This window comes from Homo sapiens, chromosome 4 (genome assembly GCF_000001405.40).
Source record: "Homo sapiens chromosome 4, GRCh38.p14 Primary Assembly".
Lineage (NCBI taxonomy): Eukaryota > Metazoa > Chordata > Mammalia > Primates > Hominidae > Homo > Homo sapiens.
The window spans coordinates 182,120,653-182,145,890 of NC_000004.12; the positions used below are offsets into that span (position 1 = coordinate 182,120,653).

At 41.9% G+C, this 25,238-nt stretch overlaps 1 protein-coding gene and 1 long non-coding RNA gene across 23 annotated transcripts in view, besides 2 other annotated features; one reads left to right on the forward strand and one right to left on the reverse strand.

The window, feature by feature from the left end:
• Positions 1-25,238, forward strand: part of TENM3 (teneurin transmembrane protein 3) — a 1,355,412-nt gene that overhangs the window by 673,040 nt on the left and 657,134 nt on the right. For 8 of the 21 annotated variants that reach the window (XM_017008387.3, NM_001415970.1, NM_001415968.1 and 5 more), the window contains exon 1: positions 24,007-24,102. The exons of 7 other annotated variants lie outside the window; for them this stretch is intronic. The gene's annotated coding sequence lies outside the window, so the exon portion shown is untranslated. Of the gene's footprint in view, positions 1-23,310; positions 23,510-24,006; positions 24,103-25,238 lie in introns of those variants that run through there. 6 more of the 21 variants (XM_017008386.2, NM_001415969.1, XM_047415937.1 and 3 more) reach the window with 1 other exon arrangement.
• On the reverse strand, positions 18,006-23,863 carry TENM3-AS1 (TENM3 antisense RNA 1). 2 transcript variants are annotated; one of them, NR_125905.1, is made up of 5 exons: positions 23,687-23,863; positions 23,395-23,488; positions 23,051-23,192; positions 22,786-22,893; positions 18,006-20,832 (listed from the first exon to the last, which is right to left on the reverse strand). It is a non-coding gene; the product is annotated as a TENM3 antisense RNA 1 (long non-coding RNA). The 2 variants fall into 2 exon arrangements; NR_027107.2 differs by having other exon boundaries at positions 18,006-22,893.
• Positions 20,359-21,165: an enhancer, noted in NCBI's record as "H3K4me1 hESC enhancer chr4:183062164-183062970 (GRCh37/hg19 assembly coordinates)". NCBI's record gives its function as "activates a minimal SCP1, AML or CMV promoter by ChIP-STARR-seq in primed H9 embryonic stem cells {active_cell/tissue: H9 hESC(primed)}" and the evidence as "EXISTENCE:reporter gene assay evidence [ECO:0000049][PMID:30033119]".
• Positions 24,120-25,108: an enhancer, noted in NCBI's record as "H3K27ac hESC enhancer chr4:183065925-183066913 (GRCh37/hg19 assembly coordinates)". NCBI's record gives its function as "activates a minimal SCP1, AML or CMV promoter by ChIP-STARR-seq in primed H9 embryonic stem cells {active_cell/tissue: H9 hESC(primed)}" and the evidence as "EXISTENCE:reporter gene assay evidence [ECO:0000049][PMID:30033119]".

Consider the following 25,238-nt stretch of genomic DNA (forward strand, 5'->3'; position numbering starts at 1 on the left):
CAAATGAAACTTCCTTGAGAAAAGGAAATTTGAATAAAGACTTCAAGGAAGTGCTAAAAAGAAATGAGGGAGTGCATCAAAACTGTTCTGAGCAAGTGAATAGCCAGTGTCCGGTACCAAGTATGCCTGATGTGTTCAAGGGACAGCAAGCAGACCAGGATTCCTGAGGTGTTATAAAAATGGAGGAAGGTTCTAGAAGTTGAGGTCAAAGGGGTAACAGAGGATCAGATCATGCAAGACCTAGTAAGATATTATAGGACCATGGCTTTCTCTCTGACTGACTTGTATACGCATTGTAGGATTTTGAGCAAAGGCATGCCATGTTCTGACTTCCATTTTGTTTTTATTTATTATTTATTTTTTTGAGATGCAGTCTCACTCTGTTGCCCAGTCTGGAGTGCAGTGGCATGATCTTGGCTCACTGCAACCTCCGCCCTCCGGGTTCAAGTGATTACCCTGGCTCAGCCTCCCGAGTAGCTGGGATTACAGGCGCCCACACGACACCCGGCTAACTTCTGTATTTTTAGTGGAGACGGGTTTTCACCATGTTGGCCAGGCTGGTCTCGAACTACTGACCTCAAGTGATCCGCCCAACTCGGCCTCCCAAAGTGCTGGGATTACAGATGTGAGCCACCCCGCCTGGCCTCTGACTCGCATTTTAAAAGGTGCACTCTGGCTTCTGGATTGAGAATATAGACAATAAGGAGTCAGGTGTAGATATAATGAGAGTAGTTGGGCTATTGCAATAACATAGGCAAAATAACGTTGGTGGCTAAGGATAATACCTATGGAAGTGGTAAGACTAGGTTAGACTCTGGATATGCTTTTAATGTAGAGCTAAAGACCACTTCAATAAAGACCACTGCCATAAAGCTAATATCACAATAACGTGAGTCACATGGTTTCTTTTGGTCTCCCAGTGCATATAAAAGTTATGTTTACACTATACTATTAAACATTTAATAGCATTATGTCTAAAAAACAATGTACATACCTTAAGTTTTAAATTTTATCATTAAAAAATTCTAAAGATCATTGGAGCCTTCAGCAAGCCATAATATTTTTGCTGATGGAGTATCTTGCGTCAGTGTTCATGGCTACTGATTAACCAGGGTGGTAGGTGCAGAAGGTTGGGGTGATTGTGGCAATTTATTAAAATAAGACAACAGTGAAGTTGCCCCATTGATTACGTCTTCCTTTCACAAGAGATTTCTCCATAGTGTGTGATGCTATTTGATAGCATTTTACCTACAGTAGAGCTTCTTTCAAAATTGGAGTCAATCCTCTCAAACCTTTCCACTGCTTTATCAACTAAGTGTATGGAATATTGTAAATCCTTTATTGTCATTTTGACAATGTTCACAACATCTTCACCAGGAGTAGTTTCCCTCTCAAGAAACCACTTTCTTTGCTCTTCCATAAGAAGCAACTCCTTATCTGTTCAAGTTTGATCATGAGATTGCAGAAATGCAGACTCATCTTCAGCCTCCACTTCTATTTCTCTTTAATTTCTACTATGTCTGCAGCAACTTACTCCACTGAAGTCTTGAAATGCTCAAAGTCATCCATGAGGGTTGGAATCAACTTCTTTCAAACTCCTGTTAATGTTGACCTCCTCCCATGAATCTCAAATGTTCTTAATTGGATCTAGAATGGCAAACCTTTTCCAGAAGGTTTTCAACTGACTTTGTCCAGATCCATCAGAGAATAAAAATCTATGGCAGTGACAGTCTTGCAAAATGTATTTCTTAAATAATAAGACTTGAAAGTTGAAATTACTCCTTGACTGATGGACTGCAGAATGGATGTGGTATTAGCAGGTGTGAATATCTGCGCATCTCCATCAGAGCTCTTGGGTGACCAGGTATGTTATCAGTGAACAGTCATATTTTGAAAGGCATCATTTTTTTCTGAGCAGTAGGTCTCAACGGTGGTCTTAAAATTTCCAATAAACCATGGTGTAAACAGATGTGCTGTCATCCAGGTTTTATTCCTTTTACAGAACACAGGCAGAGTAAATTTAGCATAATTTTAAGGGCCTTAGGAATTTTGGAATGATAAATGAGCATTGGCTTCAACTTCAAGTAACTAGCTACATTAGCTAGTTAAAAGAGACTCAGCCTGTCCTCTGAAGCTTCAAAGCCAGGCACTGACTTGTCTCTAGCTATGAAAGTCTGAGGTGGCATCATCTTCCCATGCAAAGCTGTTTTCATCTACATTGAAAATCTGTTTTTTAGTGTAGTCTTCATCAATGACCTCAGCTAGATCTTGTGGATAACTTGTTGCAGCTTCTCCGTCAGCACTTGCTGTTTCACCTGGTACTTCTATGTCATGGAAGTGGCTTCTTTCCTTAAACCAACTTCTTGAACCAACCTCTGCTAGCTTCAGATTTTTCTTCTGCAATTTCCTCGTCTCTCTCAGCCTTCTTAGAATTGAAGAAATGTATGGCCTTGCTCGGGACTAGGCTTTGGCTTAAGGGAATTTCATGGCTGTTTTGTTGTTATTGTTGTTGTTGTTGTTTGTTTTTTGTTTGTTTTTTCCTATCCAGACCACTACAACATTCTCTGTATCAGCAGTGAAGCTGTTTCACTTTTTTATCATTCATGAGTTTTCACTGGAGTCGCACTTTATATTTCCTTTAAGAACTTTCCCTTTTTATTCTTAACTTGACTAACTTTGGCACAAGAGACTTAGCTTTTGACTTATTTTGCTTTGTACCCGCCTTCCTCACTAAGCTTAATCATTTCTAGCTTTTGATGTAAGTGAGAGATGTGCAACTCTTCCTTTCACTTGAACACTTAGAGACCATTGCAGTGTTAATAACTAGCCTAAAGACAATATTCTTGTCTCAGGGACTAGATGGGCCTGAGGAGAGGGAGAGAGATGGGGAAGCAGCCAATCAGTGGAGTAATCAGAACACACACAACATTTATTGATGAAGTGTGCAGTCTTATATAGGCATGGCTCATGGCACCCCAAAACAATTACAATAGTAACATCAAAGATCACAGGTCACCATAACAGATGTAATAATCATGAAAAATGTGAAATGTTGCTATAATTACCAAATGTGACACAGAGACACGAAGTGAGCACACGCTGTTGGAAAAATGGTACCATTAGACTTACTCGACTCAGGGTTACCACAAACCTTCAATTTGTAAAATATGTGATTTCTGCAAAGCACAATAAAACAAGTACAACTCTATTTCCTGATGAATTAGAGGAGAAGAGTGACAGCGTGGGGGAGTCAAATAAGACCACCAAGGGTTTTGTCTGGAATAACTTGAAGTGTCAGTGCTGCCATTGACTGAGATGGGAAAGACTGCAGAAGGAGTTAATTTTAGAGTTCAGGAGTTTTTATTTGAAACTACCCATTTATTTGTTTATTTATTTATTTACTTTTTAATTTATTTTGAGATGGAGTCTCACTCCGTTATCCAGGCTGGAGTGCAATGGCGTGATCTCGGTGCACTGCAACCTCTGCCTCCTGGGTTCAAGCAATTCTCCTATCTCAGCCTCCCGAGTAGCTGGGACTACAGGCACGTGCCACCATGCCCAGCTAATTTTTGTATTTTTAGTAGAGATGGGGTTTCACCATATTGGTCAGGCTGGTCTCAAACTCCTTACCTCAGGTGCCCCACCCACCTTGGCCTCCCAAAGTGCTGGGATTACAGGCGTGAGCCACAGCACCCTGCTGAAACTACCCGTTTACACAATCTAGTGGAAATGTCGAGTAGATAATTTCATATGTGAATCTGAAGTTAAGAAGGGAAAGAGAGATCTGAACTGGAAATGTAAGTATAGGAGATGTCAGCATATAACCTGCACTTAAAGCCTCGAGACTACAGTGTTGTTCACCAAGGGAGTGAGTCTAGAAAGATTAAGAAAGAACAAAGGCTGAGCCCTGGGGCAACATTAAAACTGTGGGAATAAGAATCAGTGAAGGAGGCTGAAAAGGCGTGGCCAGTATAGTAGAACAATCAGGAGAGAACGGTGTCCAGAAAGCCAAATGAAGGAAAGTGTGCAGGCGGAGAAAGTGAGAAGCTGTGACCTGATGGGTTCAAGTACGATAAGTCCCTTCCCACTTTTTTGCAGTTTCACTTCCTGATGTTTGAGTTCAACTGCAGTCAACTACAGTCTGAATATATTACATAGAAAGTTCCAGAAATAAACAGTTCATGAGTTTTAAATTGCACGCTGGTCTGAGGGGAGGGATGAAATCTCACTGTCCAGCTGGGACGGTGAATCTTCCCATTGCCCAGCGCATCCACGCTGTGTGTGCTACTCGCCCCTGCTGGGATGGTGAATCTTCCCATTGCCCAGCGCATCCACGCTGTGTGTGCTACTCGCCCCTGCTGGGACGGTGAATCTTCCCATTGCCCAGCGCATCCACGCTGTGTGTGCTACTCGCCCCTGCTGGGACGGTGAATCTTCCCATTGCCCAGCGCATCCACGCTGTGTGTGCTACTCGCCCCTGCTGGGATGGTGAATCTTCCCATTGCCCAGCGCATCCACGCTGTGTGTGCTACTCGCCCCTGCTGGGATGGTGAATCTTCCCATTGCCCAGCGCATCCACGCTGTGTGTGCTACTCGCCCCTTCCATCTCGATGATCACATCAACTGTTGTGGTATCACAGTGCTGGTGTTCAAGTCACCCTTATTTTACTTAATGATGGCCCCCAGGTGTGCAAGTAGTAAGGCTAGCAATGCAGATCTGCCAAAGAGAAACCACAAAGTGCTTCCTTTAACACCGGATCCATAGGATTTGGTAATAATCCCAGTTTCAGGCATCTACTGGGGTCTTAAAACTTATTCCCTGTGGATAAGGGGAAATGCCACCGTAAAATGAAGGCTTAAAATTGACGTTGGGATTTAGCAGCATGGAGATCTTGGGCCATCTTGACAAAAGTGTTTTCTGTGGAATGGTGATGATAAAACTTTCATTGGATTTAAAGGAGATGAGAGTAGAACATTTAGAAACATCCAGCATAGGCAAGCCCTTTAAGGAGTTTTCCTAAAAAACAGTGAATAAAATAAAGAAAGTAAAATAAAATAAAACAAAAAAGAGGGTGTAGCTGATAGGGAAATCAAGGAAAAGCCCCCTTTCCTTGCCTTTTTTTTTTTTTTTAAAGATAGAAGTAATAACTACATGCTTGGGATCATGGGAATGAGTCCATAGGGGCCAAAAATAAATGATAATATAGAGCATAAAATTGCTGGTAGCAAAATATGACAATGCAATTTGGGGGATTTGAAAGCGTATGTCTAAAATACATATTTAAATTAACAAGTAACAAAGTAATGTCTACTCTAATTCACCCTTTTCCTTTGCATCCCATTCAAAATTCTGACCCACTTAAAAATGATACCAGATAAGTATTTGTTTCTTATCTGATTAAAACAATTAGTACTAAAATATGTATCAGGCTGAACATCCCACCTAAAGTCCATATTATTTGTACAGATTTGCAATAAAATGAATCTCTAATTGGAAGATATTTTCGAGTGGCATTTTCTGACCACTCGAGACATGACTCATTCCATATTTAGTTTTTCAGAGAGTAAGTAGGTTGAATCAGCATTATTATCCACAGTCAAAATGCCCCAAAGTCAATCGTAGATCCCAGAGATGTACAAAAAAACTTTAATGTGAAAACAAGGTCACACTTCTCCACCACACCTAGGGCTAAACCCATTTCCACCTGTAAGTGATGCAGAGCACAGTCATCAGAGTCTATTTCCACAAAACAATAGTCTCTTTGTAACACCGAGGAGTCAGGCTGAAAACAGAAGTTCGGTGCTTTAGAATGAAGAATGCTCTGGCTTGGGCACAGATTTAGACAGTTGGATTCAGATGCTGCTTACTGAAGAACTCTCTTTTGGTGAAGCAAAACATCTTCAATCCAGAAGTATGTTTAGCCTCTAACGTGATCTTCTTGCTGTGCCCATGAAAACCTACTGGACTCTGAGCCAGACTTGCCTGATCCTGCCCTATATGCACATGTATAAAATGGTGGTCCTTTTCTCCTTCTGTCTGAATCACATTGCTGTACTATGCATTGATTCACCCTACCCACGAAAAGAGTTGAAGTGAAAAAAGAACCCCAAGCAAAACTTTGTCTGGCTGACTATGCCTATGGTCTGTGAGTCACTAAAAATTTTAACTATGGACTTGACCCTACTGAGCCCAGGCAAGCCCAAGAACTCCCCATCCCCACCCCATCCTCAACACAGAGACTTTCCTGAGGGACTGGAGCTAGCATAGTACATCACATTGCATAGCCACAAATCACCAATCTACCTTTGCAAAGTGTGGCCTTCTTAAGGCGTAGCATGCATATGTATAAATGCATATGTGGTATTTAACACAGGTTAATGAGATCAACCCCAAGTGAGCTTTCTGTAGGACATCATATACTGCAATTATGATAAAGTTATGTTAAAATATAGGGACTTTCCAGGTAAATGATTAAATAAAAATGATTTTTAAAGTATTTATCCACATGAGCTGCCTTCTACATATTTCTTAAGAATGTATGTGCAAAGGGTTAATATTATATGTAAGGCAGACATCTAATGGATAAATTTAAAAGCAGCTAAAAACATAGCATCCTGTGTATAACTTTCATAATTGTACGTTCCTCCAGAGATAATGGATATGATTATCAGCAGCGCCTGTCCTAGGTAACTTGGCAAGGTTACGATTGTTTGTTACAGCTTTGGTTATATTAACATACACATTAATATTTATAAATATTTGATGTCATGTTAATTTTTCATATAAGATGATTTATGTAATGTTGCTGTGCCCTGTTAGAGGGCATTTGCAATATGCTTCAAAAGGGAACTGAACTGATGCATGTTCTTTAAGGGAACTTGCCTGTATATCACTGTTCTCATGATGCATTATTCTGAACAATAGTATTTCAAAATAAATTATGTGAATTGTGGATTTACTCCATTAACATTTTAAATAAAACATAAAGGAAAAGATCATGCTGAAACTATTTGCTACATTTTTAAAAGGAGCTCTGTTCTCTTGGAGCAGAACAAAGTTTACTGAAAGACTCTTTTTCAAAAATGGAGTTATCAAGCAAGCAATGGTTTTGCAATTTTGTTTTCAATGTATAGTCTATATAGCATGCAAACTAGCATATTCAGAAAAGTATATAAACTTGAGATAAAAAAGTCATAATATTCTTGTTTTCATTTGTCAATTTTCTTTTGCTAAAGTATATTTTACTGTGATGATCAAATTTAGACATTAAGAGAATTAAATATAAATTCAGCAGGATGTGTATAATAAATAAATCAAAAAGTTATTAAATGAATATTTGCTTTAGGTGAAAAAAAATTTCTTTATAGGAAGTTTAATAGGTTTGTTTAGTATTATAGTACTACTTTATAATATAGTTCATTGGTCCACATTACCAAATAATATTATTAATGATGTTTCACTTTTTTTGTTGTTTTGGTCAAAAGGATAAAATATTTTATGTAAAATCTGTGGAAAAAAACGCAGAAACCCTATTTTATATGGTAATCCATTTTCCAATTTTAATGGATGTTATCTTATCCTTTTTTTTTCTATGTAGGCATTTTTTTTGAGTATCTTCTTGTAGTTATGCTATTAGCATATGAACTATTAATAAAATTTGAGTTTTGTACTTGTTTCTTTCTTTCTTTTCTTATTTTTTACTTTTTTAAGAGACGGGTCTTGCTATGTTGCCCAGGTTGGTCTTTAACTCCTGCACTCAAGTGATCCTCCCACTACAGCTTCCCAAAGTGCTGGGATTACAAACATGAGCTACTGATGCTGGGATTACAGGCTTCAGCCACCAGCGCCTGGCCTGTACTTGTTTCTTTTCAACAGTTTTAACTAGTGCTTCTATTGTTCCTTTTTCCCTATTAAGATTCAAGTTTTCTTTAAGGTGAACAATTCCTTATTAACTTACTGTTCTTTTCTTCGTGTCCCTAAAATGACACATCATCCTGCGGTATAACACTAAGAACGAAGTTAGTAAATTTGAGAATTTTGGAAATCCTCATTTAAAATACACAACTGGAATTGAATATTTTCTCCTAAATTTATCATTAAATAGGTAATAATTGTTACTTTTCATTTCATCACTGGCACTGTATTAAACCCTGAAACAACTCAAAAAATCAACTTCAGAAATTACCTTTGATTTGACATTACAGAAGTTGGTTTGTTATTACTATCCAGTTTCACAACATTGACAATTAACTTGAGCAAAATGTAATAGACTTTTTTCTCTCATATTTTTCATACTCAAATTAATTCTGTCATCACAATTATTCACATTCCAAAAAAATTTAAAGCAGGTCACGAGGGAAGAAAATGCCTTAATTTGAGGCCACGCAGAAAGATCTGTGGCAACAAAGCATGGGAAAAGGCGGGAATAGGGTTACATCCTGAAGCAACAGACAGCTAGCGCTGTGCAAAGTATATGACTATTAAGTCGTTTTAAATTCACATAATATCATCTGAAAAAATGTTGCTAATGCACATAGTCACAAACAGCAGTCAGCAGTAGATAGATTGTGTTAAGTATAAATGATTTGAATTACTACCTACATATATTTAGCTTAGAATATTTATAATACATACATGGAAATCTATATCTCATAATATATAATAAAAGGAGAAGGAAAATGTGAGAAACCTGGTATTTTTAGAGTATCACAAATCTGTGTTGTCAAATATGAATCAATTTACTCTTCAGAATTCCTGCTTCCTGAATGAAGAAGAATCAAATTTAGAAGGCGTAGTATTATATATGATCAAAATGTTACAAAGCATAGTAACTGAAATTATTAAACATATCAGCAGAACCACCTGGCTTGAAAGACTATAATAGATCACCCATCAAGAAAAAAACAGAAATTAAAAGCTTTAGGTGTCGAAGGATAGGTAATTAGGAAAGGATAATCAAAGAGTGGATTCCACAAAAAGGTTAGTGCTGTACTTTTTGTTGCTGAAATCAGCCTTTTGGCAATTGATATATAAGTAATCAAATTAAAAGTTTTCCATCTTACACTGATTCTTTTATAGGTAAAAGTATGCATTAGGTAAATAATAAATTAAGAAAAAGAAGGTCAATGTTCAATTGCAGTGTTTTAAAAGCATCTTCCTTAAGATTATAAGCACCCAAGAGACAATTAGCTTAAAACTATAACACTATAGTAGGAGAAAGAGATCTAAATACACAGACACACATACATACACAAATACATAAGTATATGTGAGGGTATCTCCAAATACAGTATACAAATCTATATTGAGTTGGCTACTATTGTTCTTACTGTAAAGTTTCTAATGTAGTCATAAAATTACAAGGAAGTTAAAACGTCAGAATAGTTTACCACTCCAAATTAGATTGTGATATTTTATCTAAATCTAGGCAAAGCCAACTCTTTTTAAAAATACTCTTCAGGGAGAGGGTAGTCTCAGATATCATAACTACAAAAATAATGTGCAATTTAATTTAAATCTAGATTTTTATATTTAGAGACAATTTAGTTATCGAGTTAAAGAAATTATGACATTTCTAAATAAAGGTTTTACTGAATTAAAATACTATACGGCAAAGTAATTTGTATAGGTGAACGTGACACAAATTCCATTAGTGGTATTGTCACCAAAATTTGATATCTAAAAAGAAAACTCATAGCAGATCAATACTAGTAAGATAAATGGATCAAACTTACACACATACAAATCACATTTCTTTTTATAGCTGATTAATACTTAGCAATACATAATTAACAGTTACAAAAACATTGTACTATGTGTTTAAGTGACAGTGCAATAAATTAAGGCTTCACATCAAACCCCATGTAGGCCACTTTTGGAGGTGTCTACTTCCCTAGTCAGAGACGTTACCCTCAGTCAGTGTGCACATTTTCATTACCAAGTAAAAGAAGTAGTTGTTGAATGAACTGGAATGGCTCAACATAACATATTACCACAAGAAGAAAAGAACCATTTATAAATCCTGATCCTGTATGCCGTTTTTTTTTTCATCTTTGGATCTGGACAGTTGGTATTAGATAAATGTTTAAGACAAAGCCGAACGATTTTAGCATCATTTCACACAAATCATTACATTATATTTATTTTGAATTTTTCCTACGTAAGCTGAACTAGAAGAAAATAATTGGTTAGATAAATGAAAGATATTAATAATAAACTCTAACCCTCTAAAGTTTAAATTCTATCTCATTTGATTCTCTTAATATCTTAAGAGAAGCAGATAGAGGACTATTACTTCTTGTGTGGCAGATTTAACCCCAGGATGACATGAAATTGTTATTTGATAACAGTTCAGTTTGTTGGTGATAATGGTGACCCTTGGTGTTTCAAGTGGGTTTTTGGCCAAGTCATCTGCACAAGTGAATCTAAACTAATTATTTCAATAGACCTTTCTTATATAAACTGTGTTAACGTAAACACTGTAGAAACTCTAAATGTAGTGGGGGAGGTTGGGGTGTGCAGAACAGACAAAGAGATTGCTTTCTACAATTTAACCCTGAACATATGGCATGTCCATACATGTAAAATTAATGTGCCCAGTACAAGCAATCATTTCATAGTTTATCAGTGATTGCAGATCACAGCAAAATACGTTTCGCCACACTACTATGGATCTGTTAGAAGATAAACCTAAATGGATAAAATGAGCTCAGGTCATAGTTCATTTTTCTTTCTGTTTATGACTATGAATTTTTTATTTTACTAAGTCTTTTGTTAAATCAAAAACCTCACCCACGATTAGCATTGATTTATTTTATGTTCATTTTAGATTTGATATTAGCGTTTTTATCATGAATATATCATATCCATAAAGAGGCAAAGATACTGGGTTTACCTTCTGCTCTGGTTTCAGTTATTTATTTTAAATGCTGCCTGTAGGAAGAGTTAAGGGTAACCATTTTAGGGTTAATCTGTCACTGCATGATTAAGTATGAAAGGAAACCATTCAAAAGTCACAAGAATGAAATGTAACAGAATACACAAGGGGTCAATAAGGATGTGTATTTTTCCTTCCACTGTGATCTACTGCTATTCAGAACAATTGATTAGACAGGTTCATTATTGTTTTGCAACCACACATAAACCATTATTATCTGCCATTCACTCCCTAAGGTGTTCTAGTGGACAGTTTTTCAATGATTTGTAATTTCAAATAGCAGCAAACTTACAATTCACCTTGTTTAACTTCCCTGGTCTTTCAAAGAGGATTACCAACTTCTACAAGCTAAACATTGGAGCAGTTACAGCCTTCCTGGAAATTTTTTATCAGGCTGGCAAATGTTTATCATCCCTGAACTATACTCAGTCCTTAAAACAGTGATTTTTACTTTATCCTGAATAGATGAATAATGGAGGAGGGAACCACCCTTCTGGAGCTGAAATCTTCTGTAAGTCTAGCCTTCAACCATCATTCAAAAATATGTGCTGAGGTTTGCAGTAATGTTATTTAGAGAAATTGGTAAATGAATTATAAAATGGGTTATAGGCCGGGCGCAGTGGCTCATGCCTATAATCCCAGCACTTTGGGAGGCTGAGGCGGGTGGATCACGAGGTCAGGAGTTCAAGACCAACATGGCCAACATGGTGAAACCCCGTCTCTACTAAAAAAAAACCAACAAAAATTAGCCAGACCTGGTTGTGAGTGCCTGTAATCCCAGCTACTTGGGAGGCTGAGGCAGAGAATTGCTTGAACTTGGGAGGTGGAGGTTGCAGTGAGCTGAGATCACACCACTGCACTCACTGCCACAGCCTGGGCAACAGAGCGAGAATCTGTCTCAAAAAAAAAAGTGTTATATTAGGAGCAATTTTCCTGTAAATCTGTACAACATATAAAACAAAGGAAGATGAGTAAAGTTGCTTGGAACAGGACCTAAAGTTTTGTCAAGTTCAATTTTTTTCATATTATAAAATGACTTTTCTCAAAAGCAGACTCAAGCAATAAAGTATTTTCTTTGTGGAATTCACATTGGCGTGTATATGTGTTCTTAAGAGGCATTGCTCTTTCATTAAACTCTAGTTCATAGTTCTGTGTGTGTGTAAGATTTTATATGGGTGTGACTAACATGATCAGAGCAGGTTCTATTCCTCCTAGAAATATGTGTCATTCTTAGTGTTTGGGCTCTGGAAAAAGTGTAATTAATCCTGGCTCTTCTACTTACATTGGGCAAATTACTTACTTTTCAATGTACTGATCTTTAAAATGAGGAAAATAATAGTAACGACTTGTGAAGTTGTTATGAGGACCACATGAGACAATGTATGCTATGTGGTGGGCACGTTGTCTGCAAGAAAACATGCGTGTAGGCCAGGCGAGTCAGGAGGAGGAGGGAAAATAGGATGCAGACCAGGTAATTGCAGTAGTCAAGACAACATCAAAAGAAAGACTTGTTTTTATGCTTTTCCCACTACTTATCATAAGGACTTTAAATCTGCAATATAAGAGAAAACAGGGTCACGTCCTTAAGTGTAATCACAGTACTTTGTTAAAAGTCACATCCTTCAGAGACAAGTCATTGCAAAAGAAGGAAGTGAAGATGGCAGGATAGTGATAATGCTTTATGTTAAAAATTGAAGGGCTTTCGGCATGAGCAATGCTTATGAAAACCATCCTAGAAATAGCATGGGATGCTGACCTGTCAATGCCTAGCTTCCAAATAAAGCTCTTCATTTTTTTTGATATATTTATTCGGGATTTCTATTAAAGGCTACACAAGTTGAGTTAGTTTCTATTCCATTTCACAAGAGCATTCTTTAATTTCTGATAATAAATAGAACTAATACATATTTAAAGGTTCATCCCAAAATTTATATAATTTTAGAATCGTATATAAAATATTAAACAAGATAGCCAGCAAAAATTTGTACACAGTGTTCCAACTATTAAAATACATAGAAAATGCCATCTCAGTTTATAACATTTATTTTACGACTCTTAGAAAATATAATCCAAAATTGAATTTTGAAGTGTCACTGAATTTTCAGCTGGAATTTCTTCTGGTAGATACTCTCACCCTCTTCGTTTTGTGAATTTTGATTTCTTTCTTAAATGGGACTGTGTCAGTTCTGAAAATAATTCAATGACAGTTTTTTGCAACAACTTCTTTTTAATAGGGAAATGTTAAAACTGAAATATATATTTACTTTATGAAAAATATTTAACCCAGGGCAATATTTCTCAAACTTCCCTTTGAGTAAGAATGTTCTGGAAGACTTGTTTAACATGCTAATTTATTGGTCCTATCCTTGGGGATTCTGATTCCCTATAGCTGAAATAGGGCCCAGAAACGTATATGTTCTCAAGAACCCTCAGGTGATTCTGCTTACAGGGGGTCTAAAGGCAACAATTAGAAAATCATTGGTCCAGGGTTACCATAGATAGTTAGAGCATATTTGTCATCAAGATAATCTTCAAATTTCAATAAGGAACCTCTTTATTATCAACATTATTCCAAAAGGTAGTAAAGGTTGATTTCTAATAAGTTTGAAAATAAATATTGCCTGTACCATGGCCTGATTTAAATCTAGTTTCTAAGTCACACTGTAAACTCTTGAGGCAAGATTCTAGTACTCACTGATCAGTGTAAATAGAGACTGAAGATAAATGCAGAGCTCCATTAAGCCAGGACTCTAAGCTAGGAATCTCACATGCACCCTCTCTTCCTTCCAGCATCCTCTTAGTTTATCTTCAGTTTAAGCTTGTTCTCCCTTCTCTTTCCCCTAACTCAGATTCTCTCACTGCCAATTTCCTCCCTCTTTATAGACTCTTAGCTCATAATCTTCTCATGGCCTACTTTTTTCTCCTCCTAGATATCTTATCCAAGGATAAAAGAGGGGAAGGTGAATCCTGGTCTTTCACAGATTTTGTGGATTAAAAGTGCTGGACTTGGAGTACAGGGCTAAGAAAGAAGTGTTAGGTAAACACAGAAAGAAATTTGGATGCTTCTCTGCCCAGGCCAGATTCTTCTTTCCCCCAGTCTGCTCTAGAAATGCCTGGCTTCTTATGTTTTTCACTAAAGCAAACAAAGCCAGAGCTACGTCTTCATCAGGTAAACTAAAAATCAGATCACATGGCCCGTAGGAGCTTGCTGTATTTCAATATGACTCTTCTACTGTTTCATGGCTTTATTCCACAACTCTCTTTTCTCAGAAATGCATCACGCCACAGAGAAAACCAAGCTCTGCTGTCTTAAGCACCAAAAATGAACCAAAGTTTGGCCAGGTGCAGTGGCTCACACCTATAATCCCAGCACTTTGGGAGGCCGAGGAGGGTGGATCACGAGGTCAGGAGATTGAGACCATCCTGGCCAACATGGTGAAACCCCATCTCTACTAAAAATACAAAAATTAGCTGGATGTGGTGATGCGCGCCTGTAATCCCAGCTACTAGGAAGGCTGAGGGAGGAGAATCGCTGGAACCCGGGAGGCGGACGTTGCAGTGAGCCGAGATCACACCACTGCGCTCCAGCCTGGTAGCAGGGTGAGACTCGGTCTCAAAAAAAAAAAAAAAAAAAAAAAAAAAATTCCAAAAATGATCCAAAGTTTTAGGCAAGAGGATAGCTTTACCTAGAAGGTTGTTAGAAATATCTTTCTTTGTCTCACTTGGGACGTTTGTACCCTAAGAGTAGTGGTGTTTCTGGTGTCATCTTTAAGCAAAGAAAGAAAGAATTCCATGACCCATGTGATGATGGCTTAGGTTTCCAGACTAAGGTAATTCACACAACTGTGGCCTAATGTACTTCTGACATCAGGATTTATGGATGAACCAGGTTTAGTCTCTTAGAAAAATCAGCTATGAGTTGAATACAGACTTGAAGTGAAAGTAAAGACGAAATATCAAAATATCAAAATCTTATGTTGTATTTTAAATTTCTAAAGTCTTAAGGAAGTTGTCTATGTCCATTTCAAATGGGTGTAACGGTCCATGACAGGCTTTGAGAAAATAGCATATGACCACGAACTTCGTCGTAAGTATGTTGTTAAGAGTGGCGGTGGTATTGATGATGTAAACATCTTTCCTCTCCTGGCATTAACAGACAGAAATGTGACTTGTAGATTCAGTTTCTCCCAACCAACACATATGTAAGAAGAATGTGAAACTCACCTCTCTGCTTACATATCCTTAGTTGATAGTTCACAGACAAGAAGTTTTGTGAGACTGAACCCTAAATGATCTGTTAATGATTTGGGATTTTAAACAGTTTGCTCTGAAAGCTGGTTCTTGTAATCAAGTTTGACATGAAAATAGTACTGTCATTAAATTCAAGGAAATACCACAGTTTAATGCTTAATCACATTAAATTTCAGATAATTTGTATGTCATGAAGCTGTATTTTGGAAACATCAGTTGGAGCTTTACTACTGAGCAGACCATATATCTACATAGACTCTTAGTCTCAGAGCACTACAGTATCAAGTTGTAGTTTTGGAAAGCTGGTATGGAAAAAAAAAACACCTGTTTATTAATTGCATTGAAATGTTTTAGGGAATACCTCCATGTAATTAAAGTGGCAATGATAATGAATAATAGGGCTACAATTACTTTCTTCTAGAACCAGCTTCTTTCTTTCAAGGGAAAAATTCTTGCCCCGTCACTTGCCTCATGAATTTCCAGGAGTGTTCCTTGCCTCTGATTTGAAGCATGCTATTGTTGTTCTTTTTTCAAGCAGTTCTGATTCTTTGTCCTACACATTTTTGTGTATAGATGTTGTCTGGGTGATGGAAGGGTAGAGATTAAACTGAATTTCTTGCAGGGTCAGTTTACATAGTGAGTTCTGAAAGGGCTGGGTGGAAGATTTACATTTTCAAGCAAAATCATTGAAATTACGGTGAGTAAAACATATGATAAGGATATTAACACATACCTAATAGGTCACCCATACTCACGTGGGAGTTTTAGTACTTCTTAGTAATTCCATTTACTTGACACAAATGGTTTTGGCTGATTGCTCTAACCTATCACCATACCTTGAGCAAAACAACTGATGTCATTCAATAAGGAGTTAGGATCCATTAAAGAGAAGCCCATTATAACAGCTTATACAATCTACAATGCAAATGAGAACACTGTTTCAACATAAGATGAAAAAGGCATTCTGAAAGAGGCTAAAGTATTTTCTAAATTTTAAAAAAGAGCTAGTCTTGACGCCTAAGATTTCTTAAATATTTTTCAAAGTGTCAACTCAGAATTGTGGAATCTGTCTTTTGTCTTCCCACTGTAAGGATTCAAACTTCTCATAATGCACAGAAAGATCTCCAGTCAGCATCCCCCCCCACCCAATACAACGTTGTGTTAAACTTCATCCAATTGTCCAGCTAATTCTTGTGCTTCTCCAATTTTACTGGATATGATGTTTTTATTGGGGTTCATGGAAGCATGGCTAATGACATCAGCAAGCTTTGTAATTTCTCACTGCCAGTTTTCTACACAACTTACACTTTTGTCACTCAAACTGCACCAAATTGCTCCAACAATTAATCTTAAAGCGCAGGAGTAGGGGGACTTTTAAATGGACCCCTTCTTGGGATTTTGTGTTAAAAACAGGAAAGTTCCCATGAGTGAAGGGGATAAGTTAGCTTTTCCAGCCTCTGCCTCTCCCCAAGTCTCACTCTTCTCTGCCACCTCCCCCCCCCCAAAAAGGAATGAATTACATTTCTCTTCTTGTCCTTTAAATGAATAGCATAGTTTGGGTGAAATTATCAGGCAATTGCATGCCTTTTATGCAGATAATGCTATTTGATGAAAGCGGTGTTTTGATCTGCTAAGGATAATACAGATCCAGGGTTGGATTCATTGGTGAGAGTAAAGCTGTCTTCTGTGATAACTTCATCTCAGCATGAGGTCAGACGGGGAAAACTGGGATGGGGGATTAAAAAATGACACAGTCGGAGCAGTATTCAGTTCCCTGCTGTGCTCCTGGCTGCACACTATAGCTTATGTTTCTGATCTGTTATGGTATTGTCTGCCTTTCTCTCTCGGAGCAGAAAGAGATTGCTTAAAACTTTTCTTTTTTCAGCTAGAGGGATTAGTTCTGTGCAGCTTTTTTAATTAAAGAAACTGTATCTTTTTCAAGGCAATTTAAAGCTGCAAGGGAAGACCCATCAACATCCATAACTTAGTACTATTATCTGTAACAAAGTCTAAGCTCTAAATTTGATATTCAGAAATAGGGGAAAGGAGCTATAGAATTCTGTTGTATTCTTAACCTTCAGTGGTTGCTCAAATCCCTAAATGAAGAATAGTAAATAAATTATTTTGTGTAAGTCCTGAATATGTTTCTATAAGTAGTAACTTTCAGCCTCTTTGCTTTTTAGCCTAGCTGAGCTTGCTTAATTAAATCTTCATGATGATAGCGAAGTGCACTTGCAAATGGTGTAAGAGGAAATAGATTTGACTATATATCCTTTTCTTTACCCAGAGATCATTTTTAAACATTTCCATTCTACTGAAAGTGATAACAGTAGAAAAGGTCTGCTTAATATGGGCAATTTGCATTTAAACAGTGCAAAGTACAACATTATGGTACTTTATCACGACGAATCTTTGCATGTGTGATAAGCGGTCATCATCTTTATTAATCTGAGGGAAGCATGGATTGAATCTATCCAAAGTGATGATGAATTTGTCAGGACATATACATTTGAGTTGAATTTATAGCTCAATTTAACCCAGGTTAATGTCGAAAATCCTCAAATGTTTCAAATAAGGCCCATATGGTTATCACTTTACAAAGCACACAGGCTCTGCGCTTCAGTTGCAACATACACATCTCCAACTAAATTCCATGCCAGATCAATTAGAAACAGTCCTCCTGAGCAGACAGGAACAAACAAAGATTGTTTCCCCAATACCAGCTGAACCCTTGTCTTGAAGAAATGAAAAGCAGTCATCTTAGGCTCTACACTTCTTACCACTAAAAATCCAAAGGGAATTTGGAGGACGACAGGGTTTTATAAATAATGTCATATTTAATATAAAAACATGAGTATCTACATGTTATAGGTGCTTGCTACAATTTGTTTCCAAATTTCGATAAACATCATATCCTACTGAAAAAGAGAAAACCAAAATTTGATCTCTTTGCCTTTTCTCATTGTTTTTGTCTTTACTTCGCATTATGATTCTGAGAAAAGTCAACCAAGGTCAAAAGTGGTTCGTTGTAATGACCAGAATTTTAAAACGATGTCCCATTAAAAACTTCATGGTCAGAGAAGTAGAACAGTGTACTTAAATGCATTTTCAAGGTAAATTTTATTTATGACATACCCCTGTTTAAAAAAGAAAGTCAGAGGGGCTAAAGACAATGAAAATATTTTATTCGTGTATCCACTCATTCGTTCAACAAACATTTATTGAGCAGCTCCTATATGCCAGCCCATGGGCTAGGCTTGTGTGTCCAAAGAGGCATAAGGTTGAGCCCCTACACTCCAAGAGTGCTCAGCTATTAGGAAAGACCTATGCAAAAAACAGTGCCATCCTTTATTACATGCAGAAAACACAGTGGAAGCACTGCCAACGGGAGGAGAGTATCACTAATAGGTACTTTAAAAACTATGTGTTCCAGGGGCCCCGGATGCAGAGCATTCCAGACTAAGAGGTCACCAAAGGGAGGAGAAAGAGTAGGGCACTTCTGGGAAATAAAAAGATGTTCAATTTGTCTGATACTGAATTTAGTCACTTGATACCTATATTTTTAACCTATATTTACAAGTTAACATATAAGCTGGACCCTGAAATATCTAACGGGTGTTGTTTGACTAAAAAATTGTCCTGTAGTGTCACTATTGTATCATAAACCTTGCCAGCAGCTAATGCCTACCTCGAGTACACTATATACGCTTCTCACTGAAAAGTTGTTTATAGAAAATATGACAGATGTTAAAAGGCACTCTATGATAACTCTTAAAAAGGTTCCAACTTTCACTGTGGAATAATGTAGCAAGTTTTAAATACGTTCACAGAGCTAAACCAAAACCGAAAGTTCCACATGTTAAAAGACGCTGGTGTTCAAAATCCTTCGCAAAACCTGGGGTCTTTTATGAGGCTCTAGCCAAAGCAAGGGAGCCCCTGGGTGGTGCTACGCAAATGCATTTCCACCGAAGGTCGGAGCCACGCGTAAGGCCCGGTTTACACCATGGAATACAAACGAATGTACTGGAGAAGCATGGTCCCAATTAAAGGTTGCTTCGTCTCATCACCAGTCCATTCAGTGGCTCCAAAATGCATGCACATTGAGAGAGGCTTATCTTGCTTTAATTAAGATAATGAAAGCATGTTTTCCTCTACAAACAGTCATTGAATTTTATGACTTTGTCAGTGATCGAATTAAAATATTTGTTTTATAGTTCCCTCAATCTAACAGCCAAGGGATAAGTTATTTTTTTGCCAGTGGGGGGAAAACCCCACCCAATAATAACTTTGTCTACTTGAGAGACTTCCATGTAAAATTTAAGTTTTAGTGTTGTTCACTGTTGCAGATTAATTGCTTGCTACCTGTGAAGGCACTTGTGTAAGGGAAACACCTCAGGTGCCTAGAATTTGGGTTTTGCTCAGTGGCTACCAGCCTTTAGCCTCTGTTCTAAAGTGGCCCATCACCTATTTGCTGTTCTCAGTTGAGACATAAGCTCCTTTTGGGCATATGTGGGTTATTGGCTTTCCTGAGCCTGAGGGGTGAGCTGGAAGGTCTCGGTACCTGAGATTTGGCTCCCCTGGTCATTTCTACCCCGTTCCTCATCGTTCCTAGGGTCTCTTGAGTGGGAGAGGTTGCAGCCGGGGCAGCAACTGGGTTTGAACCCAGCAGACAGGCCGCTCATGCCTCCGTTTGCTAAAGCAGATGTAATAAAGTCCAAACAATAGGTAAACTCCAGTGATGTCCACAAGTGTCCTTGGAGAGCCTAATACCTGCCTGACCCGGCGGTCCCCTTCTGCACGCCTGAAAGCCTCGCGTGTTAAAGGAGGAAGTGGCTGCGGAGACCCTCGAGTCTGCACGGGCAAGAGGCACAAACAGCTGCTACCCGGCCCCTTCAGTTCCAAGCTGGCTCTTTAGGACAGGAGGAGAAAACGGACAGACCCCAAAGGGGAGAAAGGGAAGGCGCATGTGATGCTGACTAAAATGGACAGGTGTCACCTTCAGGTGGGCAGCGACACTCGGCTGAGACTTGACCCGCGGGGAGGCGGTGGAGCAGCAGGGCAGGGTGCTGTTGGCCTTGCCTCAGTAGTGGGGCAAGAACCTGTCTCCTCTTCCCCAAAATGAATCCAGAGGTTCGGCCCATTATATCCCTCCCCCCCGCCCCCCAGCCCTTTGAGAGGCTTCCAAAGGCCCCAGGCATGCATTCCTAGGACTAGGGCTAGGCGAGGGTTGCTGGGCCACATTTTCCTTTTGGAGAGCTGCGCATCTGTGTGGCAAGAGGGGCCCACGGGAGGGCGATGCCGCCAGCTCGGTCCCATTATCCCGAGCACGACCGGCTGCGTTCACACCGCAAAGTCACCAGCCGCGCCGGGCAGAGTTTGCTGAGAGCGGCCAGAGGCTTGCAAAACAGACAGCGATGTCTTGCATTTCTTCTCCCGCTCCAGTTTTTATTGCTGCGGAGGGCACGACGTGAGCTGCCCGCCATCCCCGCCCTCTCTTGACAACAGCTCAGTGAGGTAAAAAGCATGATGGTCACGTAGCGAGCTGCCTCTCTGCTTTCCAGGGATTCATCCGAAGGAGGAAGCGTGTGGTAGTTTGGCACTGCACAACATCAGCTTTTCCTAACGGCCTCAAATGATGGAACTTCTTTGTGTGAGAGACAGAGAGAGACCCAAATTTAACACACGTAAGCTGCCTGGATTACAGGCGCAGGCAGACGTAGAGGAGGACCCCTGCGCGCTTTGTCCACCAGCGACGCCTGGCATAGAGTGCGCAGGGCCGTATTAATGAGTTCTAGAGTATTTTTTTCTATTTTGCAACCATAGTGTGAACGTTCAGCATTGCATACTGAAAAACTTTGAATCTCATGTAAGAAGGAACTGGGCTAGAGACAGGAGCCAAGATTTATTACCATTTCTAAGTTTTATGAGTTCTATTGTTTTCCTACCTTTATTACCAGCGTTAGCTGTAATGAGGATTCTAGAAAAAAGAGCTGGAAAAAAGAAGCATCCCCTAACTCACACAATGTAGCACTTCAGTTCTGGCCTCTTTAGGATTGGGGCAGTGTCTCATCTCTTTATTGTGTATTCGTAGACAGTAAGAGGGAGTCTCACTTACTACTTGGAAAAGTTTTAAAGACCTAATACTTTTGTGTGTGTGTGGGAACTAGGCCACAAAAGTGCTTTATGAAAGAGTTTCCTTACGATCATGTCCGGATTCAAATTTCAAGTAGTTTGCATGATCTTCATGTAATATCTGGGACACACCTTCATAATTGACAAGCCTTTTTTTTATATAATAATAAGAATGGCTAAATGAGTGAGGGATATCATTCATCCGCCCCCATGACCTTATCTTTTTCAAGTGTGAAATTCAGTGGCAGAAGGAGATGGATCTATCCCAGGGCGACTCTAGATTCTTCCCGCAAAGATATGCGTGCTGCTTTCCGTCACTAGCGCCCCGAGAGCCGGGTCGGGTTCGCTTACTACCAAGACTTCTCTACTTAACGCGCTGCGCTCGGGCACTTAGCAACTTCGGGAACACGGGCTGTGGGTCTGGGCACACCACCTCGAGTTTAGGGATTCTCCTCACTTCTAGCCCAAACTTTGGATAAACTAACATAAAGGTTCAGGCTTTCCTAGGAGGCGTCGTCCTTGTTCTCCCAGTGCTCGATCTGTTTCTGGTTCTGCACGGTAGTTAAAAATGCAAGTGGATTTCCTAACGGCCGAGTACAGGTACAGGTGGAGGTCGGCGGAATCCTCTGCTCTGAAGCTGAAAGTGGAGGGTGGCGCGAGGCGGCTGGCGCGACGAGGCTGAGAGCGCACCAGTCTCCGCCACGCTTCCAAGGACAGGTTGGCGACGGCCGGGGCAGGCCTGGTCGCGGGCTCCTAGCCCTCCACGGGCAGACTGCTGGTCCCAGGAGAGGGCGGGGAGATGCTCGGGCGCGCACCAGGGAGCCGCACTCACTCGGCAGCCCCAAGCACGCACGCCCCACCTCTGCCGCCGCCCCGTCCCGGACCCGAAAGGAGCCTGAAGGATCCCGCCGACCACCCAGCCAGAGAGCGGTTCGGCTCAGGTCGCCCATTCGGAGCTACAAAACTCTGGAACCTCCAGCAGTTTCGGAAGCTCCGGGGGAGGGCTTTCCTGCAGACAGGGGGCGGGAGCTAGGGAGCCGGGAGCCAGCGCTGCGGTGGGAACTTCAGTGAGTAGAAAGTGGCCAGTGTCTTGGGAGGAGCAGCAAACTTTTTTTTTCCCTCCCACAGCAAACAAAATCGAGGCAGGGACAGTGTCCGGCCGCTAATCTGAGGGGAGAATGGAGAGGAAAGAAGAGTAGTAAAAGTGGGGAGTGGAGCCTTCGGAGGACTCCCGGGTCCGCCCCTGGCCAGGTGATGCGGGGCGGAGGCCTAGGTGCTTGAACCTGGGGGGCAGACAATTGTTCTGCTGCAGTGCCCACCAGGGGCTGGTAAGGAAGTCTGAGTGTTTACTGCCTCCCTTCCCTGTCCAAAGGTCATTTGCGCTTTTCGGTCTCGGACGAAAGAACACTGTGGAAAGGAAGGCGCGGGTCATTTTCAGAGGCTCTGCAAAGGACGGGCCGCCTACCGGGGGTGGAAATCCTTAATTACACCCTTCTGCCTCGGAATCCGTCTTCCCGGCAGTGTCTTGCACTGCCACCTCCTCGGGTGACTCAGCTGACCTGAAATGCCCACCCTACGGAAGATCAAGAAAAGTAGTTTTCTAAGAAGGTTAGAGGTTTGATTACACAGAGAAGTGTTTCCACTTAAGTCCAAAGCAATTACCCGCCCCCTCCCCCAGGGCCGCCTCCCCGCCACCCGCAGCAGAAAAGGACAGACCCCCACGCACGTACCCCCATTTTGTTGGTGCGTGTGAATTTCAAATGGCGCAGTAAGTTCATTAGTGTTTTCAATCGGCGGCGGGCAGACCCCTCATCAGAGCCGAAAGCCGGCAAGAGCCATTCATCAGCGTGAAGTGTTATTCACGGATGACCCCTAAATCACGGCGAGAGTAGTAAAGGCACTGATTGGTCACAGCATGGGAGCCTCGGTGCTTTCCCGAACCCGACGCGGCCGGGAGGAGGGAAGGAGGGAGGGGCGGCGAACGTGGTTCAGTCCGGCAAATCCCATTTGACAGAAAAAGGCAGTAAACGGGGAATCTCTTTTTTTGAATAAAGAAGAAGAAGAAATAAAGTACCTGTCATCTTGACAAGTGGCGGAGCGGAGGAGTCAAGGATTATAAATGATCACAGCCAGGTCCAGCTCGCCCCGTGATTGGGCTCTCCCGCGATCTGCACCGGGGGAAGCGCATGGTAGGCTCCTCTCCTCTCCTCCTCTCCCTCGCACACTCCCGCACACACACACACACACACACACACGGACACGTGTACGCGCCCGGGCTCGGGCACACTCGGCCCGGCGCGTCCCCCGCCGCACAATTACGGTCCTGGATGCCGCTCCCTGGCCGGGCGTCCCGCGGGCCTCCTCACCTGGCCCTTCTCGCCTTCCTCCTCCCTCGCCTCCCCGGTCCTCCCGCTCGCGGGCTGAACCCCGAAAACTCCGGCCCGGCCTGGTCCGCCGCCTTGGAGGAGGCTGGAGGGGCCGGCGGGCGGGGAGAGGGGGAGCGCGGGGGAGAGAAAGAAAGTGAACTCATTGGCGCGCGGGCGCCCTCCCCTCCCGCGTCCCCGGGCCGCGCGGCCGGGGGCGGGCAGGGAAGGAAGTTGTAACACTCGCGCCCCCTCCCCGCCCCCGCCCCGCCGGCGCCCGCTCCCCGCTCCCTCGGCGGGGCCCCCCTCCCCCGCGCCCGGCTCCTTTGAATTTGGCCCGGCGCGGTGTGCGCGCGGCTCGGGCGGACGCGGCGGCTGCTGCCGGGGAGCGAGCCGGCGGCGCGGGCGAGCCGAGCGCGGTAAGTGCGGCGCCGCCGCCGGCGCGCCCTCCTTCCTTTATGGGGTCCTAGTGCCGGGCCGCGGCGCCGGGAGCTGGCGGGCGCGAGCTGGGACGGCGCGTGGCCCCGGGAGGCGGCGGACGCGGGGACATCTTCTCAGCGCGCGGATTCTCTCCACGGTCCGGCCTCCCCGTCCCCGCCCCGCCCTCGCGCCAGCCACCTCCGGCCGCCGGCTCAGGTGGGAACTTCGCCGGCGCCTCTCGCCCGGGGAGCCAGGCGCCGCGCCCCCGTACTGGGGAGCCCCGGGGTCCCTGAGGAAGGCAGTCCGGAGGCTGGGCGCCCAGTGGGGGCGGGGAGGGGAGCCCGCCAGGTCCTCTTCGGCCCCCGATGTGTGGCGAGGCCCCGCGTCTTCTGCGGGGGCGTCTTAACAGGATCCTGGGGGGCTTCCAGCGAGCGGAAAGCCCCGGGATGTCACCGCTTTCCGGGGCAGGCAGGGGACAGAAGGCTTCTGCAGCGATCAGGGAGCCAAGTTGAAAAGGAGTGAAGGAGGGAGAGTGCGGGGCGAGGGGTAGCGTGGGGAGTGGTGGATCACGGCTGAAACTTGATCGGGAAACTCTGGATGGGGTTGGAAACACACACAAAATATCCTGAGCTGGGCGTTTCAAAAATTACGAATTTATGAGCCTGCAACTGAGATTCTAAGTCCCTCTCGTGTTTTACAACCGATTACAAAGAGCTTCACGTATTTTAGGTTGAGGCGGGTTGTGTCTGATTGATCTTTGCTGAGCATCTTACTATGCAGCTTGGATTCCATTCTTACTGCCTCACCTTTAAGGTAGCTGGAGTGGTAACTTGTTAATTTTTATTGTAGAGAGAGGGTAACAAGTACTTGTACCGTGTAATACATCACACACGTGTGTTTCCCCAAGTCACTGTAATTTGGAGGTAGAGAAAAGTTTCCAGGTACGTGTGAGGAGGTGCAATGGAAATGAAAGGCTGAGAGCTGTCCTAGACTTTTTACAGGGCCCCAGACGGCTGGGATGCCCGAGAACAGGACTGTCTCTTCATCATGCTCTATTTCTTATCTTCTGACAATGTATTTTGTCAAACATTGGTAGACTCTGGCAGAATCCACTGGGTGGTCTTTTCACTAGAAA